This window comes from Homo sapiens, chromosome 4, assembly GCF_000001405.40.
Source record: "Homo sapiens chromosome 4, GRCh38.p14 Primary Assembly".
Classification (NCBI taxonomy): Eukaryota; Metazoa; Chordata; class Mammalia; order Primates; family Hominidae; genus Homo; species Homo sapiens.
Window position 1 is genome coordinate 118,848,258 of NC_000004.12, and position 21,207 is coordinate 118,869,464.

Here is a 21,207-nt window from a genome sequence, read left to right on the forward strand (position 1 = left end):
TCCTATTGATAAAATCTATAAAAACTATGAATATTCTGCATCTCCTCAGTAATTTATATACATCTCTGTCCAAATTTGTCTTTTTTTTTTTTTTTGAGACAGGGTCTTGCTGTGTTGCCCAGGCTGGAGTACAGTGGCATGAACACGGCTTACTGCAGCCTCTACCACCTGGGCTCAAGCAGTCCTCACACCTCAGCCTCCCAAGTAGCTGGGACCACAGGTGCGCAACACCACGCCCAGCTAATTTTTAAAAATTTTCTGTAGAGCTGGGGTCTCGCCATGTTACCCAGGCTTGTCTCAAACTCCTGGGCTCAAGTGATCTCCCACCACTGTCTCCCGGAGTGTTGGGATTACAGGCGTGAACCACTGTACGTGGCCCAAATTTGCCTTGAACAAGTTATCTCTGGCTCTGTGTTTAGGCAACACCTATTGATGTGATCTCTAGGCACCTTACTAAGAATATTGTGCCAGCATTCTGCCTTTAAGACCAGGAAAACAGAGCACAATGAGGATTTAAGTATGAGAACAACCTCCTTGCTTATATCACTTATTATAAATCTTTTATTTGACAAAATTCTTCTTATAGATTATTTTTAGTACTAGAATTAGAAAACCTAATGAAGTTTAGATCACTACGAGTTCATATGCAATGTCATGTGTAGATAAATTAATTGAAGGTGCTTTATAAACTAAGAATATCCCATTTTTTCTAAAACACCCTTTTCATAAAACACACTTCCAAGTTTCTATACTTTTCACTGAAAACTGCAAGGGCTCACTGATTATGGGGATTTGAGCCAATCATGAAGTAAGTCTCTGGCAGGCTTATCTGTAACTAACACTGATATCACTTGAATTCAGGGGATGGCAAATAGGGCCATGATGTTGGTCTTAAGAATTTTAATCCTTTTTCAAAAGAACTGTGAATGACCAGCTATGTTAAAATAAAAGACTAGAAAGTTGGCTCTGGGGAAAGAAACCTCACAAAACAACATCCCTGTTAAAGAAATGTCAAATCTCTTAAAAAAAAAAAAACAACTAAATTTGCATAATATTCAAGGAATTCTAGCAATATTAAATAATTTGTGAAACAAGTTTTTAAAGGGCATAATACATGCTTTGTATACTGGACTTGTGTTTTATAAACCCTAACTCTTTGTTTGCCAGGTTATATGTTGGAATGTAAGAAGAAATACCAAATTTGGTACTTTCTGTGAGACATTTGGGTTTTCTTTGCTCTTTATTTAACATAATGTGAGTCTACATAAAATGCCTCATACCGTAGTATTTTGTGCTTGGAAGGAGAATTCATCTTCTCTGGGTGTAGAGAGGAGAAGTGGATTAAAATAGTATTAGAAATAGATTTCAAATGCAAATACAGGCACTCCTTGACTTAAGATGGGGCTATGTCATGATAAATCCATTGTAAGTTGAAAATATCATAAGTCAAAAATGCATTTAAGACAACTAATCTATCAAACATAGCTTAGCCTAATTTACCTTAAATGTGCTCAGAACACTTGTATTAGCCTAAAGTTGGGCAAAATCATCTAGCAGCACAGTACACTGTATATTACAGGGTGTTTAACCTCAAGATCATTTGGCTAACTGGGAGCTGCAACTTACTGCCACTGCCCAACATCCTGCAAGAGAGTAGCATTACACTGTGTATCGCACTCTGGGAAAAAATCAAAATTCAAAATTCAAAGTATGATTTTTATTAACTGTATCACTTTTGTGGAATCTTCCTAAATTGAGGACATTTTGTAATCATTTTCAAGATGTTTGTATTAAAATAAGTTAAATATACTGTTTAACCCAAAGTGAAGAGATGGGTTCTTAGAGAAAACATCTTGAGAACAATCCGGAAAGTGATTGTTATTCTTTGTTGGTAGAGCAGGAAAGGGCATTCCTGGAAGAGAAAGCACCTAAACAAGAGCATAGAAATGTAAAGCAACCTGGAGATCTAGGGGGAACTGCAAGCTTTTTGATATGGCAGGAGCAAGGAACATGTTTGTCATGGCTGAGGAGGGGCCCCACCAAGCAACAGTATGAAGATGTAATCAAGGGCCAGATAATGAATGGCAGTTTAAGTACCATTGAGGTGTTAGTGATTTATCCTGGAGGGAGGCATCAAAAGGTTTCAAAACAGGAAAACAGCATGATCTGTTGCTTTTGTACTATTGGTTTTGGCAGCAATGTAGAGGATGGAATGGAAGCTTGTGAGACTAGGGCAAAAAGAACTAAGAAAACAGCACGATAATATAGAAAAAAAAACAAGGAACAGTGTTAATAGAGGGCCATCCAATTGAATGTATGAGGTGGAGGAAGGTGAGAATGGAAACTAAGGTGATGTGCTGGGTGGGGAGGGGCCAAGAAAGAGGATACAGGAAGAGAGTGCTTTGCAGGAAAACGTTTGTTTCACTTTCAATTTGTTGCCTTCAAAATATTCAGAACATGTTGCTCTGGAGCTCAGGAGAGAAGGTGAAGTAAAGATCTGAATTCGGCAACTCGGAAGCGAAGCTCCAATCTTGAGGATGGATCAGATTGGTGAGGGAGACTGTCATATAGAGTGAGAAGAGAGATCCAAGGACAGAACTGCAGGAAGCATCAATATTTGAGGAATGAGAAAGGAAGAAAAGCCTCCCACAAAAGAGATGAGACAAGAGGAATGGTTACACAGGTAGGAAGAGAAGCAGAGATGAATGGTGTCCTCTTTATATTTCAATCACCTGAACTCATTACTCATTATTGCCTGCGAATATCAGGTGCTTCACTGTTTCTCAGCTTTTACTCATACCTTTCATCTTTTCAAAAGGAGTTTTAAAATCCTACTCACTTTTCAGAGTCTTAGTGGAATACCAGGTCTTTCGTCAGAACTTTCCTGACTGTTATCACGATCTTTCTTCCTCACATTGTCCTAGTAACCCCAGCATCATGAAATTGAATACAATTACATTATTTAAGACAGTCTTTCAACAACTTTTTGGTCTCAGGAACCCTTGACATTCTTAAAAATGATTGAGGATTGACCAGTCTGACCAACACGGAGAAACCCCGTCTCTACTAAAAATACAAAATTAGCCTGGCGTGGTGGTGCATGCCTATAATCCCAGCTACTTGGGAGGCTGAGGCAGGAGAATCGCTTGAACCTGGGAGGCAGAGGTTGCGGTGAGCCGAGATTGCACCATTGCACTCCAGCCTGGGCAACAAGAGCAAAACTCCATCTCAAAAAAAAACAAAAAACAAAAACGAAGATTGAGGATCCCAAAGAGTTTTGTGCTTTTGCTTATATAAGATATAGCTATCGATATTATGGAATAAAACAATTAAAACTCATTGTTACAATATTTATTAACTTATTTAAAATAGCAATAATGTCATTGCATGTCAATGTAAGTAACATTTTGATTAAAAATACTGTATTTTTTAAAACAGAAAAATGTAGTGAGAATAGTGGCATTATTTTACATTTTTTCAAATCTCTTTAATGTCTTGCTTAATAGAACACAGCTGGATTATCATAACCACCTCTATATTCAATCTATTGTGATGTACCATTTTGGTGGAAGTATGGAAAAAAAATCCACTCTCATACAGGGATGTAGTTGGTGGGGGAAAGGGCATATTTTAATAGTCTTTTCAGAAAACTGTGGATATTCTTTGATACCACACCAAAACTCAGCAAGAGTTTTTTTTTTCCCTAGAGGTTAATTGCAATGTGGAATCTGAAACCATAGCAAGAAAGTTTTCTAACTGTTATATTAAAATTCATTGGTCTATCATACAATTTGGTGAATTTGAATGATTTTGCAACATCACACATTTGTCACTTAGAAAATATTGATTTGCCGTATAAAAAAAGCTCAATATCACGGACCATTAGGGAAATGCAAATCAAAACCACAATGAGCTGCCATCTCACACTAGTCAGAATGGCTGTTGTTAAAGAGAAAAAATAACAGATCCTGGAGAGATTGTGGAGAAAAAGGAACGTTTATACATTGTCTGTGGGAGTGTAAATTAGTTCAACCATTGTGGAAGACAGTGTGGTGATTCCTCAAAGACCTAAAGACAGAAATACCACTTGACCCAGCAATCTCATTACTGAGTATATATACAAAGGAATATAAATCATTCTATCATAAAGAAACACGCACACGTATGTTCATTACAGCAGTATTCGCAATAGCAAAGACATAGAATCAACCTAAATGCCCATCAGTGACAGATTGGATAAAGAAAATGTGGTACATATACACCATGGAATACTATTGCAGCCATAAAAAAAGAACAGTATCATGTCTTTTGCAGGGACATGGATGAATCTGGAGGCCATTATCCTCAGCAAACTAACACAGGAACAGAAAACCAAATACCACATGTTCTTATAAGTGGGAGCTAAATGATGAGAACACATGGACACATAGAGGGGAACAACACACACTGGGGCCTATTGGAGGCTGGAGGGTGGGAGGAGGGAGAGAATCAGGAAAAATAACTAATGGGTACTAGGCTTAATACCGGAGTGACAAAATAATCTGTACAACAAACCCCATTACACAAGTTTACCTATATAACAAACCTACACAAGTACCCCTGAACTTAAAAGTTAAATTTAAAAACATTGATTTTCTGGGTTATTCAAGTCCTCCAAATGTTGACATGTTTCATTATTACATTTTGTTAATATTACCATCAATTTCATCAGAAAAGCTTTTAAATATTAAGAAATTGTCAAGCTCACAGTGGCAGACACAACTTTTCCAAATTCATATTTTTACTTGAAAGCTCAAGTTTTATCATTGGCAAGAAACACAAGAGTTTTTTTCTTTGATGTAAGAGGATCACTTCGTTAATTTTCAAGAAAATGTCATGCCATTCTCCTGAGGAACCTAGAGATAAGAGGAGGAAGTTGACTTCATTCCTATTTGTATTTTCCTTTCAGCTCATAGCAAAAGTTCTGGGGCTTAGTAGGTTCTCAACAGATGTTTGTAGATTTGAATTGAATTTATTTCCATTGTGAATTTAAACTGCTGTAAGTGTTTCATTATGACCCAGTTTGCCCAAGATGATCCCCACTTATGTTTATTCTCTTCATATACCATCAAATTTAGGATATTTCCCCCCCTCCTGATTTAAATAAGTAGTATTAAGCATTGCAACAAAATGTCGGCATGAATTTGATGGACCTAAACTTGGCAATTGCAATTTCTATTCTAGGTTCACCCAGAAGTGTGAGACTATGGTTCAGAAAACAGAACTCTCATCTTAACCCATATAAAGACAGAGATAAGCCTATCTCTCTAGTTTAGAACTTTTCTAACTGCAGAATAATTAATGCCTCCTGTTCAGGACAGTATGCAGAGTCATAACTGGTAAAACAATGTACATTTGGACTCAAGTGGCTAGGGTGAGTTAAATCCTTCTGGTCTTAGGGGTAGCGGGAGAAGTATTCAACATCATTGCCTCCTACAGTCTTGGCATTGTAGCCAATTATGCCATGGCCTGTGCTGCAAGACTCAATATGTAAGAAGCTGCCAGGCTACCAGGCTGCCAATTAGCAGTGTCATGGGGAAATGTGGGAAATTACAGATTAGGTGTACATGGAATATGTGCAGGAAAGAGGCTGGATACCATACTTTGTACAGAGAGTGGTCTGACGCTATTGCAATAGCCATTTTGTGACTATCCTATGGTGTAAACCTTTCATATGTTATTTTGTTGTCAATGCTTTTTTAAAAAAATGCAATAAACTCTCCTGGCAGCAATGAACCAAAAGCTAAGAATATTTAGTGAAAAATTAAGTACTGAGTTTCTGTTTCTCCAAAAAGCTAATGATAAAAGTGTCACTTAGAAAAATGTTGAAATTTCCCATCCAGCAATGGAACATAACTGCTAATTACACAAAAAACAAAGAATCTGCTTCAGAAGTTAATGTTACCTTAAGATAATTGTACCTGCCCAGAGATCATGATTTAACATGTACAGCTGCAGAAAGTGTATTTACATGTCACTCTGTGAAGCATGACTTTCCATTTGTTGATTTCAGAGCCCAAGTTTTCTTGTAAACATATAAAAAGTAAAGCAATAGCTATCATTTTATTGGTTCCATTAATAGAATAACTTCACAAATTGTTAAATGATAAGAATTTTATAGCAACATATTAGATGCTGCAAATAGAAAACCAGCCAATTCAAAATAGTTCAATTTTTTTTCTATATGAATCAAGGAATCAAAGTAAAACTAGTTTAATTTCATTCTGTCAAGAAACAGCTGATACTATTGTTAAAGCCATTGTAAATTTACTTTAAAAGTTCAGCATTGAAGATAAAATTATTTGCTTCTGCAGCAATAAAATCAATACGAATTTTAGTGAAACATCTTGTCATTATAAAAACAATATTCCACCAAATTAACAAACATATAAAGGAGGAATTATGCTTATAATTGGTTGTGGTACATCAAAAAATGCATAATGGCATCCTGAAAGAGCTAACAACTGAAATTGAAGTTATAGTTGTCAAATTTTATAAATACTTTGTACATACACACAGAGTAATTGAACTATATAATTTGTATACACCTAATTTTGAAATAAAAAATAATTCAGATGCAGCACAGAAGTAGGTACTTTCTCCTTTACTACTCATTATTAATCAAATTTAAAATGCTTGAGCCCTTAACATTTTTGTAAATGGAGCTAAGTGTTATATGATAATATCAAACTCACTTGCAAGTGTTCAAAATCAAAACTGTCAGTAAATAGAGTGCCCAGATTCAGCTAGTGAAGTGTTTAGCAAGTTGCAATGAATGACAACAATATTTGCAAACAGGATGACGTTCCAATTTATTTTTACTAAAGCAAAAAAAAAAAAAGATAACACATTAAATAAGGTTCAAGTGATGGGCAAAATTTGACTTTGAAATTTGATGGTAGATCTTTGGAATATTTTGACTCATTAAAAGAATCTTTTGATAAATCTTCTATTTTTAGTTGGAAAAAATTCTCTGTGCTGAAATAGAATGAAATTTAAGAGAATCTAAATTTGGTAAGCATTCAAAAGAATCTCACAGACAATTTGCTTGACGAATTATTTATTGAAATAATTACTCTCAATGGAGGCAAAAAGACAGTAATTGTGAAAATATTTTAACTGAGATATTAGTATTTTTCAATACAAAGCAATCATAATTGAGAATATTCTCAATTTAGGATTACTTTTTATCTGAGTAGATATCGCACAACTGTAGAGAGAATATTTTCATATTAAATGTAGTTTCATTGAAAGAGAATAATCAATTGAAGGTGTCAATAATTTCAAATACATTAACCATTAAAATGCCACTTTAAATATTGCCAGTAACTTTGTGAAGCCATACAAAATAATTAGACTATAGTAAAATAAAATATTTTTCAGGAAAATGTCAGTGACATGATATTAGAGATGTTTATGACTAAGAAACTGATTGAAGTAGGTGAAGATGTCATAACAATAATTATTGTCTATATCATTTTTACTGTCTATTGATTATTTCTTTAGAGATATAACTTACATAAAGCCCCCCAGACTTACAACTTAATGATTTCTTGCACACATATATACTTGTGCAGGCAGCACTCAGATCTCTCTCCCTCTTTCTCTTTCTTTTTCCCTTTTTCTTTTTCTGTCTATAAAATCCAGCTCAAATATAATTTCTTCTCTTGGCAGTGTTTCATAAGCAGCCTTCTCATCAGAACTCCCAGAAAAATTCTTTGTTTATCTTCTGGGATACCATAACATAGTGGATCTATTATACTTCTCTTCTAGCCCATGTTGTATGGTATATTGTGATTTGCATTTATACCTGGCCCCACAGCTAGTCAGCGAGTCATTTGAGGGTAGGAGCCATATATATTTTTTCAGCTTTATCCTAAGTGCCTAGCACTGTGTGCAAGTAACATATTCGGTGCTCAGAAAATGTCCTATCAAATGAATTATCTCTTTAGTTATTGTTATCATCTAATAGGGTTAAATACATTGTTGGCTCTCAATAATTATTTTTTGAAGTAAGTAACCCAATATCTTCTTGTTCATTGGAGTTTATGCATACTAGTTTTGAGATACATACAGATTTATTAGGGGGGATTATAAAACCTAACAGAGGATAATGAAGGCCTCCTTACCAGCAAAACTTCGCACTAAGCCATGGTTTATAGTGGAATGCACATAAATTACTCCAGATTATTATTTCGAATATATATGCTATTTTATTTTATTTTATTTCATTTTATTTTATGTTTATTGACTTTTTTTTGAGACAGGGTCTCGCTCTGTTGCCCAGGCTGAAGTGCTCACTGCAGCCTCAATCTCAAGTCATCCTTCCACCTCTGCCTCCTGAGTAGCTGGGACCACAGGCACATATCATCACACTTGGCTAATTATTTTATTTTTTGTAGATGGCATCTCCTGATGTTGCCCAGGCTGGTCCCGAACTCCTGGGCTCAAGCGATCTGCTTGCCTTGGTGTCCCAAAGTGCTGGGATTACAGGCGTGAGCCACACCTGGCCTATATTTTTAAAAATAGTGTTTCTTCTTCTATTGTTGGTAAGAGGAAGAAAAATGCAAAGAACCTTCAATTGAATAGAAATAATGGACGTTCTCTCTTTCTTTTCATTCTGTATGGTATTTTAAGTAAAGAATATGAATTTACTTTGCTTTTAAAACATCAATAAAAGCTCTTTATTCATAAATGTATTCTTTATAAGTATAGCCCACAGTATAGACTTTTATATTTATAATTTAAAAGAAAATATTGGCATCAAAATAATTTATTAATAAATATATAATCAAGCTACTTATATGATGATAGTGTATTAAACTCAGCAATTGCCACAGGATCTATCATCCATGAATGCTGTAACCCTTTTCCAAACACTAAAAACACAAAATACAGGTAAGTATTTATTCTCTTATCTTCTGTATTGAAGGCACGGAATAATTTAACAAAGAAGTGCAAAAGAAACACTAAATGTGGGGAAATTCTTCATTTTGGGAAATTATTAGTAGTAGGGCATATCCAGCCACGTACAGCAACACCATTCCCCGAGAAACTTCGTAAAATGATGACCATATTAAACTGAGGACAGGACAAAGGTAATAGCTGTACATATTGTCTAACATACAAATAAATGATAACCTCAAAGGCTAGCAAAGACACTGTAAATTAATAGTAGATGGATTGCATTTGTCAGGAAAAGCCTTTGATGAAAAAATTTCTATACTTGCCAGTAAAGAACCACACAGAGCATATGGTTCACTGAAACAAGACAGAATTTTTTTTAAAAAAATCAAACCGTAAGTAATCTGTGAAATTACTAACATTTAGAGTTTTTTCACAGATTAACATAACATGAAAATTAGTTAAAAGAAAAGCTCTGAAATTCACTGTAAAGTTTAAGTTTGTACTTAATTTCTAATAGAGTAGAACGCTCTCGTACTAAGAGGGTCATGTAGATTTTTCTAGAAGTATCATTTATTTGAATAGCTTTGACCATTTAGATACATTTAAAGTATTTTATTTATTATAAGGAAAGTGAATGGCTTTTTAAAGGGGATTCTTGGCTATCTTTACAAAAAATAATTTTGGTAAAAATAGTACACAGTGAGATTGCAGGAATCAAGAAGTGTTAGTCATGCCTTGTTTACCTTGCATTTCTCTTGCTTCACTTGCACTTTCTGCTTTCATGTTATTGAAAAACACAGGGCTTTCTGGCCGTTAAGTTCTCAGGGTCCATTCTTGATTCTACGTTGGTTCTCTTTATATTCCTTTCTTCCCTGCTGTACAGGCCTTAGGGCTGTAGCCTCCTTTACAATCCTCCTTCATTAGAGAAGATGGTGACACTGCCTGGCCCTAGATGGTGACATCTTCTCTATTGCTTGCTGGCCTTTGGCTAAATCTGGGTATGTAACAGGGAAGATAGGGTCTCTCCACCTCCCCACTTCCTTGCTGCCCTGAAAACAAGTACATTAGACACTTTTCATTTAAGTTTTACTGTTATTTATTGTGAGGGAGTCTTGAAAATAATAATCAGACTAAGAGAATTATAAAATTAAAGGGAACTTTCAACACTTTAATGCATGTTATCACCTCACAATTTCTGATATGGCTAGCAGGCCTAGAAACGCTGATGGATTCCTGTTTTGTTCTTTTATTTTGGTGGCAGATTTTATGTGTTTCTAGCCTTCCCGTGTCTAAGCTTAAAAATCCCTTTCTCTATGAAGGCCTGCCACTCCAGGATGTAGGCCTAAAGACACAGAACAACAGGGGTAAATCAGAGCCAGTGTGAGGGCACCTGTCTCAGGGCTTTCCATTCTTCCCTCCTTTTTCAATGGCCTCACAACTCACCATAGGACAGGTTCCCCTATGATATTACCACACCTGGAAGCTTTCTTTGAATAGCCATGTTTCCTGGATGACTTGGGGATAATATAAAACATAAAAAATCTAGAATGAGCAAATGTTAGTTTTTATTATTGCAAAATGCCTACTGCATCTGAGACAAAGGTTATGGGTGTCCTTATTTTAGCCTAAGGTGCTTACTTCATCAAAGTTAATATGTAAGTCACTAAAATACTCTTTCTCATCCAACCTTTCAAACTTCTCCAAGTTTTATATCCATCCTGCCCCCACATCATAACCACCCACATCCCATGATAAGTAGTGGAGGCGTTATCTAGAAGCATGGGAGGGTGAACTTGGCTTTCAATGAAATCTTAGAGGCCAAGTCTTAAAGTTTTGGCATCTTATAACATGGACACATCCATGAGCATGGAAAGATTCCAGATGAGTCTAGGCTTTTATCGACACCAAAGATAATGTTAGATTCTTTATCCATGTTTAGTATCAATGTGCTAAATCAACAGCAAATTTCCATACATCCTTTGTGTCGACTAGAGGAAAAGTAAGCTCAAAAATGTTCTAAGATAAAAGCAAGTTACATTATTTTTAAATTTTTTTAAATTAAATCTTTAATTTTTAATTTTTGTGGGTACATAATAGGTGTATATATTTATGGGTTACATGAGATATTTTGATATAGGCATGTAATGCATAATAATCACATCAGGGTAAATGGGGTATCTCTCACCTCAAGCATTTATCCTTTGTGTTTCAAATGATCCAATTCTACTCTTTAATTATTTTTAAAAGTGCGACTAAATTATTTTTTACTCTAGTCACCTTGTCATACTAGCAAATACCAGGTCTTATTCATTATATCTAACTACTTTTTTGTACCCATTAACCATGCCCACCTCCAGCCAACCCCCTGCCACTACCCTTCCCAGCCTCTGGTAACCATCCTTCTACTCTTTGTCTCCATTAGCTCAATTGTTTTAAGTTTTAGCTCCCACAGATAAGTGATAACATGCAATGTTTATCTTTCTGTGCCTGGCTTATTTCATGACCTCCAGTTCCATCCATGTCATTGCAAATGACTGGATTTCATTCTTTTCTACGGCTGAATAGTACTCCATTGTGTATACATACCTCATTTTATTTATCCATTCATTGGTTGATGCGCCCTTCAAACATTGCTTCCAAATTTTGGCTATTGTGAATAGTGCTGCAATAAACATGAGAGTGCAGATCTCTCTTTGATATACTGATTTCCTTTCTTTTGGATGTATACCTAGGAGTGAAATTGCTAGATCATCTGGTAGCTCTATTTTTAGTTTTATGAGGACCTCCAGACTGTTCTCAATAGTGGTTGTACTAATTGCGTTCCCACCAACAGTGTACGAGGGTTTCCTTTTCTCCATATCCTTGTCAGCATTTGTGACTGCCCGTCTTTTGGATAAAAGCCATTTTAACTGGTGTGAAATGATATTGTAGTTTTGATATGCATTTCTCTGATGATCAATAACATTAAACACCTTTTCACGCCATTTGTATGTCTTCTTTTGAGAAATGTCTATTCATATCTTTTGTGCACAACCCCCCCGCCACTTCACTTTTTGTTGAGACAGGGTCTCACTCTGTCGCCCAGGCTGGAGTGTAGTGGCATGATCACAGCTCACTGCAGCCTCGACCTCTCAGGCTCCAGTGAGCCTCCCACCTCAGCCTCCTGAATAGCTGGGACTACAGGCGTGCACCACCACACCTGGCTACTTTTTGTGTTTTTTGTAGAGATGGGGTTTTGCCATGTTGCCCAGGGTGGTCTCAAACTCCTGGGCTCAAAAGATGCACTTGCCTTGGTCTCCTAAATTTCTGGGATTATAGGTGTGAGCCACACTGCCTGGCCTCTTTTGCCTTTTTTTTTGTTTTTTTTTTTTGAGATGGAGTCTCACTCTGTTGCCAGGCTGGAGTGCAGTGGCGTGATCTTGGCTCACTGCAACCTCAGCCTCCTGGGTTCAAGAAATCCCCCTGCTTCAGCCACCCTAGTAGCTGAGACTACAGGTGCATGCCACCAAGTGCAGCTAATTTTTTGTATTTTTAGTAGATACAGAATTTCACCATGTTGGTCAGGATGGTTTCGATCTCTTGACCTCGTGACCCACTTGCCTCGGCATCCCAAAGTGCTGGAATTACAGACATGAGGCACTGTGCCCAGCCTGACTATTTTTAAAATCAGATTATTCTATTTTTTTTCCTATAGAGTTGTTTTAGCTTCTAACATATTCTGGTTATTAATCCCTTGTCAGATGGGTAGTTAGTAAATATTTTCTTCCATTCCATAGGTTGTCTCTTCACTTTGTTGACTGTTTCCTTTGCTGTGCAGTAGTTTTTTAACTTATATGATCTCATTTGTCTATTTTTGTTTTGGTTGCCTGTGCCTGCCAGGCATTACTTAAGAAATCTTTGCCCACTCCAATGTCCTGGAGAGTTTCCCCAATGTTTTCTTTAAACAGTTTCATAGTCTGAGCTCTTAGTTTTTTTGAGATGGAGTCTCACTCTGTCACCCAGGCTGGAGTGCGATCTCGACTCACTGCAACCTCCACCTCCCAGGTTCAAGCAATTATCCTGCCTCAGCCTCCTGAGTAGCTGGGACTACAGGCACCCGCCACCACACCCGGCTAATTTTTTATTTTATTTTATTTTATTTGTATTTTTAGTAGAGGCAGGGTTTCACCATGTTAGCCACGATGGCCTTGATCTCCTGACCTTGTGTTCTGCCGGCCTCAGCCTCCCAAAGTGCTGGGATTACAGTTGTGAGCCACTGCACCTGGCTGAGCTCTTAGATTTAAGTCTTTAAAATACATTTTGATTTGATTTTGGTGTAAGGTGAGAGATACAGGTCTAGTTTCTTTCTTCTGCATATGGATATCCAGTTTCCCCAGCACCATTTATTGAAGAGTCTGTCCTTTCCCCAATGTATGTTCTTGACACCTTTGTCGAAAATGAGTTCACTGTAGATGTATGGATTTATTATGGCTTCTCTGTTATATTCTACTGGTGTATGTGTCTATTTTTGTGCCAATACCATGTAGTTATGATTACTACAGCTCTGTAGTGTAATTTGAAGTCAGGTAATGTGATTCCTCCAGTTTTGTTCTTTCTGCTCAGGATAGCTTTGGCTATTCTGGGTCTTTTGTGGTTCCATATAAATTTTAGGATTTTTTTTTCTATTTCTGTGGAAAATGTTATTGATATTCAATAGCGATTGCATTAAATCTGTAGATTGCTTCAGGTAGTATGGACATTTTAACAATATTGATTCTTCCAATCCATGAACATGGAATATCTTTCCATTTTTTTGGTGTGTCCTCTTCAATTTCTTGCATCAATGTCTTATAGTTTTCATTGTAGAGATCTTTCACTTTTTTGGTTGATTGCTAGGTATTTTATTTGTAGCTATTGTAAATGAGATTATTTTCTTGATTTCTTTTTCATTTTGTTTGCTGTTGGCATATAAAATGCTACTGATATTTGTATGTTGATTTTGTATCCTGCAACTTTACCAAATTTGTTTATCAGTTCTAATAGATTTTGGTGGAGTCTAGTTTTTTCCAAGTATTAGATCATATCATCTGAAACAAGGATAATTTGACTTCTTCCCTTCCAGTATGGATGCTCTTTATTTCTCTTGTCTGATTGCTCTAGCTAGGACTTCCAGTACTATGTTGAATAACAGTGGTGACAGTGGGCATCCTTGTGGTGTTCCAGATCTTAGAGGAAAGACCTTCAATTTTTCCCCATTCAGTATGATACTAGCTATGGATCTATCATACATAGCTTTTATTATGTTGAGGTACATACCTCCTATCCCCAGTTTTTTGAGAGTTTTTATCATGAAGGGATGTTGAATTGTATCAAATGCTTTTTCAGCATCAATTGAAATGATCATATTATTTTTATCCTTCATTCTGCTGATATGATATACTGCATTGATTGATTTGCATATGTTGAACCATTCCTTGCATCCTTGCAATAAATCCCATTTGGTCATGATGAATGATCTTTTTAATGTGTGTTTGAATTCAGTTTGCTAGTATTTTGTTGGGAATTTTTGCATCAATTTTCATCAGTGATATTGGCTTGTAGTTTTCTTTTCTTTCTTTCTTTCTTTTTTTTTTCTTTTGCTTTTTTGAAATGGAATCTTGCTCTGTCGCCCAGGCTAGAGTGCAGTGGCATGATCTCGGCTTACTGCAACCTCCGCATCCTGGGTTCAAGCGATTCTCCTGCCTCAGCCTCCCGAGTAGCTGGGATTACAGGCTCCCGCCACCTCACCTGGCTAATTTTTGTATTTTTTGTAGAGACGGGATTTCACCATCTTGGCCAGGCTGCTCTGGAACTCCTGACCTCGTGACCCACCTGCCTTAGCCTTCCAAAGTGCTGGGATTATAGGCGTGAGCCCCTGCACCCGGACTTTTTCTTTTCTTTTTTCAAATGTGTATTTGTCTGGTTTTGATATCAGGGCAATACTGGCCTCATAGATTGATTGTGGAAGTACTCCCTTCTCCTCTATTTTTCGGAATAGTTTGAGTAGGATTTGTATTTGTCCTTTAAATGTTTGATAGACTTCAGCAGTGAAGGCTTCAGGCCCCGATCTTTTGTTTGCTGGAGGACTTTTTATTATGGCTTCAATCTTGTTATTTGTTATTGGTCTGTTCAGGGTTTGGATTTCTTCTTGGTTCAATCTTGGTAGGTTGTATGTGTCTAGGAAATTATCCATTTTTTCTAGATTTTCCAATTTATTGTCATATAGTTGCTTATAGTAGTCACTAATAATCCTTTGAATTTCTGCAGTATCATTTGGTAATGTCTCCTTTTTCATCTCTGATTTTATTTATTTGGGTCTTCTCTCTTTTTTCTTACTCTGCTAATGTTTGTCAATTTTGCTTAACTTTTCAAAAAATCAACTTTTTGTTTCATTTATCTTTTTTTTTTGAGATAGAGCCTTGCTCCATCACCCATGCTGGAGTGCAGTGGCGTGATCCTGGCTCACTGCAACCTCCACCTCCCAGGTTCAAGCAATTCTCCTGCCTCAGTCTTCCCAGTAGCTGGGACTACAGGCGCAAGCCATCACACCCGGTTAATTTTTGCGTTTTTAATAGAGAAGGGGTTTTTCCATGTTGACCAGGCTGGTCTCAAATTTCTGAGGTAATCCACCCGCTTCAGCCTCCCAAAATGCTGGGATTACAGGCATGAGCCACTGTGCCCATCTTTGCTTCATTGATCTTTTGTACTGTTTTCTTCATTCCAATTTTATTTATTTATGCTCTGATCTTTATTATTTCTTTTCTTCGACTAATTTTGGGTTTGGTTTGCTCTTGTTTTTCCAGTTATTTAAGACGCATCACTAGCTTGTTTATTTGAAGTTTTTCTTCTTTTCTGATGTGGGCAGTTATAGCTATAAACTTTCCTCTTAGTACTGCTTTTGCTGTATTCCATAGATTTTGGAATGTTGTACTTCCATTATTATTTGTTTCAAGAAATGTTTAAATTTCTTTCTTAGTTTCTTTATTGGCCCACCAATTTTTCAGGAGAGCATTGTTTAATTTCCATGTGTTTGTACAGTTTCTAAAATTCCTCTTATTATTGATTTTATTCCATTGTGGTCGGAGAAGATGCTTGATACTATTTTAAATTTTTTAAAGACTTGTTTTATAACCGAACATATGGTCTATCCTTGAGAATGATCCATGTGCTGAGGAAAAGAATGTGTATTCTGCAGCCGTTGGATGAAATGTTCTGTAAATATCTATTAGGTCCATTTAGCCTATGGTGCAGATTAAGTCTGATGTTTCTTTGTTGATTTTCTGTCTGAAAGATCTGTCTGATGCTGAAAGTAGGGTGTTGAAGTCTCCAGCTATTGTTGTATTTCGATCTGTCTGTCTCGTTAGCTCTAGTAATATTTGCTTTATATATCCGGGTGCGTGCTCTAGTGTTGGGTATGTATTTATTTACAATTGTTTTAGCCTCCTGCTGAATTTACCCCTTTATCATTATATAGTGATCTTCTTTGTCTCTTCTTATGGTATCTGTCTTGAAATCTGTTTTGTCTGATATAAATATAGCTAATCCTGCTCTTTTTCTGGCTTTCATTAGCTTGGAATATCTTTTTTTATCCCTTCATTTTCAGCCTATGTGTGTCTTTATAGATGAAACGTGTTTTTTGCAGGCCAAGTTACAATAATATCCTGTTGAATAAGTAAGATACTGATAGCTACATTATATATATTTCTATTTATTACTGGCTCTATTAGTAAATAATTGAAAAGCAAATATGAATATCAAGGCATCGTAAAGGCAGAAACTCAAAGAAGCAGCTCCCCCAAACCTTGCCCCCAGAGGTCTGAGGGAACAAAAGGAATATGTTGGAATTAATAAAACTTGGAAATTTGAAGGTGGGAATTTGTGGGGCCAGGCCAGACATCTTAGGAGGGGGTTGCCACAGCTATTGCTGGAGTCTTGGAGGAGGCTGGAGGAGACTGGTTCTGCAAGTGTTGGAATAGCTACGCACTGGAATCAGCAGCTGCCACTGGAACTCACTGCGGTAGGAACTGGAAGCAGGTAGGAGCAAGTCTCCTCTCTCTGTTCTGGCAATGCAGTCTCTCTGTCTAGTGCCATCTATTGACAGACATGACATAGAGCAGCTGGCAAAGCAGAAAGGCGATTTGAGATTTTTGTGCTGAAGCACCATAAAGCCGAATATGGAAGGGTGGATTTGAAACAGACACGTTTGATAATTGAAACAAGAAGCATTAAAATCTTGTGGAGCATATTTAGTGGGTAGGATGGTGAAGGGACAATAAAAGATGACAGAATCAGGTTGGTAAGTGTCAGAGAAGGACACAGGAAGTTTTAAACAGTGTCAAGGGTTATGACTGAAGAAAGATCTTTGTTTTATGGTTGAGATTTGGCTGAGAGTGTTTACAGAGTCACTGAAACAGATGCTAGGGTATAATCAAGTAGATGCAGTACTTATTGACTACTCTTTCAAAACTTTGGAAACAGGAGGAAGGAGGGAGATGAAAGAATAACCTGAAAAAGCACGGTTAAAAAAAGTGATTTTTATTCGAATAGGGGAAAGAGAACTGATAAGGCATTTCCTTAATAAAGAAGAGATGCTCTTTTATAATTAAGGAAAACAATGGGTGAAGTTATGTGGAAAACAAGAAAGTAGAAAGAGTGTTTGTAGGATAATTGTAACCAAATCATAAGGTAAATGATAAAGTGTTCTGCTGAGAATGAATGTGGCTGGTGTGGGATTGGAACCCAGGAGAGTGAAGCTGATTCACAACACTTCATGTGTAGAATTTAATAGGGACAGAAACATTTCACACCAGAGACTGTAAGAATCTAACAAAATGGTTTGAGAAAACATCTGAGCCAAAGTCAGGAATAAGAATTATAAACCCCTTGATGCATGTGTATGTTTGTCTCCAGTTTTGTCTTTGTAGCCCATAGTTTTCCAATTGCAGTATTATTGACATTTTGGGCCAGATAATTCATTATTTGTGGTGTGAGCCCATTGTGTGCATTGTAGGATGTTTAGCTGCATCCCTGGCCTCTACTCATTAAATCCAAGTAGGAACGCCCTCCCACTCCCCGACCCCCACACTAACCTGGCAATCAAAAATGTCCCCAAACATTGTCAGATGTGCTGTGGAGGAAAAACTACCCTTGGTTGAGAACGACTGCTCCAACACCACGAAAATGGTCAAGGCTTTGCCGATTTCTTTGCTCCCAGCACAGTTCTATCTCTAAGCAAAGCTCATATTCTCAGTCTCTTGCCCTTCTTTGGAATCTTGGCACCACCTGGCCCTAGTTGGTTGAGCACTTCTTAGGTTTACTAGTACTCCTTTGTGGGAGTTTTTATTTCTGCTGAAACATATCCCCTTTGATATGGTTTGGTTCTGTGTCCCCACCCAAATCTCATGTTGAATTGCAAAGTGAGAGGTGATTGAATCATGGGGGTGGACCTCCCCCTTGCTGTTCTCATGATAGAGTTTCCACAAGATCTGGTTGTTTGAAACTGTGCAGCACTTCCCCCTTCACTCTTTCTCTCTCCCTTGCCACCATGTGAAGATGTGCTTGCTCCCCCTTCTCCTTCAGCCACGACTGTAGGTTTCATGAGGCCTCACCAGCCATGTGGAACTGTAAGCCTATTAAACCTTTTTTCTTCATAAATCACCCAGTCTCAGGTAGTTCTTTATAGCTGTGTGAGAATGGACTAATACACCCTAATATCCAGAAACAGAATTTCAAAGAACTTTTTAAAGTTATTCATTTCTTTAGTTCTCCTTTTTTTTAAAGTCTAACTGAGGGGTTAACAAACTGAAACTTAGGGGCCAAATATAGCTGTTACCTCTTTTTGAAATAACGTTTTATTGCAATACATTCACACCCATTCATTCACATATTGCTTATGGCAACTTTTGCACTAAGACCACAGAATAGTTTCCACAGAGACCATATGACCCCTGGGCCATAGTTTGCGAACGTTTGCTCTAGACCTTAAACACTTTAAAAGAACCAAGAGTTTGCATCTACAGTATCTAATATATTGACTTCATATTTAACTTTTCTCAGATTTACCTAAAAATATATATTGAACTTAATTGTTTTCTTTCAAATAACTAGATGCAATGAAAGATCTTACTGTATCTGCCTGTATTATTGTGTATTGGGTGAGCCAAATGCTGTGGTTAAAGAATAATGCCAAAGGGTTTAGTTTTACCATTATAGAGATAATTCCTTGTGGTTCCTATTAGTTTCTTTCTTTTTTTTTTTTTTCAGTCTTAGACTGCCTCTGTAACCTTTACTACCCTGTTGCAAAAGTGTAATTATTTGTTACAAAGAGAATAGGACATAGTGAATGAATGCTTCGGTACAAATCAGTCATGCCTACCGATTTAAAAAATCAGTGTATTTATTAAAAGTGGTTACTTACTCATCTTTCCTCATGTATTTTTTTTACATTAAACACATTACATGTTGTTTGACCTTCTTCTGAAAAAATTATATGCCAGGAGTTCCTTGGTCAAAACAATTTTCTCAAAAAACCTAGTTTGTTTTTCAAATGAACACTATTCTTAGTAGAAAGCATGCCTCTGCTTTAGATCTAAAGCAAAGTATCTTGCATCATTCCAACATCTGGATTTCATTTATTATTAAGGCAGGATAAGATGAATTCGGAAAAAATGAAGTAAAATCAGTTTCAATGATCATTATCTGATTGTGTTTTTGGACTGAACATTTCCCTACAGTCAGTCTCTGTCATGTTTAACTTTGAATAAAAACATGTACTTCATAGGAAAAAAAGTTGCAGTGACCTAATCTACTCCTCCCCTCCTTTCATTTAAAAAAAAAAAAAAAACTACGTATTTAATGAAAAATATTGGAGTAAGAGACAAAATCTTATTTAAATTTTTTTGTGCAATGGTTCTGTTGAATTTTACATATTAAAAAAAATTAGATGCTCTTGTAAAACATTTTATTTCTCCAAAACTGTAACACACCTGGTCTAGATTTTATTGTTTTTCAAACTGATTTTCTAAATTTGGGTGATTATTGGATTTTTTAAAATGCATTCATGAATGATATACATAAGAAACAACGTATCTCACATATTTCACCTGTGAATTAAATTTTCTTATAATAATAACATTACATTTTAAAATTGTCAATTTGTGCAAATTTTCATGTAGGTTAATGGATGCCTTTCAAAAAATTTTTACTTTTTTTGAAATTTTACAGATATTTGGCAGAACAGATTACTTTTTCAAACATCACATCAATGTTTTGATAAAGAAATCTGCCTTTTATTTAAAAAGAGAAAGGATTTTTGAAAGACATTTTAAATCATTTAAGAGAAGGAATTTTTCATATATGATGGCCTTATTCCCAATAATCTTAATTATTACTAGTATCAACATGAAAAAGGAATAAAAAGATAGTAATAGGAAGAGTGTAACTAGAAATAATGAAATGAGATCTGGAAGTTGTACTTCGAATGACAGGCAAATTTTTCCTTTTAGATGCTGGCGTAATTACCCAAGTTAGAAAGAAGGAAAATGGAAGGAAATACTTTATTTAAGGCCAGATTTGTCAAAGTGCTAGAAAACAAACTACAGGAAAATACCCTGAATATGTTGCTAGGAAAATGGCCTAAGTGACCTCCTTTTACCTTTTCCTATGTGCCACTGATGTGGACAGAGGGGCTTAAGAGTCTGGCTTGCTTTCCCACTGATTCCAGCATGACCGCAGGAGATGTGCTTGCCTGGCTGCCTGTTGTCGTCTATTCCCAGAAAGTTTAGCAAATGACACATGGTGGGGCTGAATGTTTATAATCACTGTAGGATTGCAAAAAGAAAATTATTATTATTATTATTTTTGAGACAGAGTTTCGCTCTTGTTGCCCAGGCTGGAGTGCAATGGCGCTCACGGCAACCTCCACCTCCCAGGTTCAAGCAATTCTCCTACCTCAACCTCCCAAGTAGCTGGGATTACAGGCACGCGCCACCACACCTGGCTTATTTTTTGTAATTTTAGTAGAGTCGGGGTTTCTCTATGTTGGTCAGGCTGGTCTCAAACTCTTCACCTCAGGTGATCCTGCCTTGGCCTCCCAAAGTGCTGGGATTACATGAGCCACTGCACCCAGCCTAAGAAAATTATTGTTAGAAGTGTAAGAATTATTGTTTTTTTGTCACTCTACTTGTTAGTCAATAAACGTTGAAATCTGGAAATATAAAATTTAAACCAGATTTAATATGTTCA

General features: G+C 36.6%; 1 protein-coding gene across 1 annotated transcript in view, besides 2 other annotated features; it reads left to right on the forward strand.

Annotated features, from left to right (window-relative positions):
- Positions 2,347 to 2,416: an enhancer, noted in NCBI's record as "active region_21850". NCBI's record gives its function as "activates an Ori minimal core promoter by ATAC-STARR-seq in GM12878 lymphoblastoid cells {active_cell/tissue: GM12878}" and the evidence as "EXISTENCE:reporter gene assay evidence [ECO:0000049][PMID:35858748]".
- The window catches only part of SYNPO2 (synaptopodin 2), a 210,567-nt gene continuing 191,783 nt past the window's right edge, over positions 2,424 to 21,207 (forward strand). The window contains exon 1 of the mRNA NM_001286754.2: positions 2,424 to 2,683. Within this exon, the coding sequence (NP_001273683.1) occupies positions 2,672 to 2,683 (12 nt within the window). The 5' untranslated portion in view covers positions 2,424 to 2,671. The remainder of the gene's footprint in view (positions 2,684 to 21,207) is intronic.
- Positions 17,016 to 17,125: a silencer, noted in NCBI's record as "silent region_15653". NCBI's record gives its function as "represses an Ori minimal core promoter by ATAC-STARR-seq in GM12878 lymphoblastoid cells {active_cell/tissue: GM12878}" and the evidence as "EXISTENCE:reporter gene assay evidence [ECO:0000049][PMID:35858748]".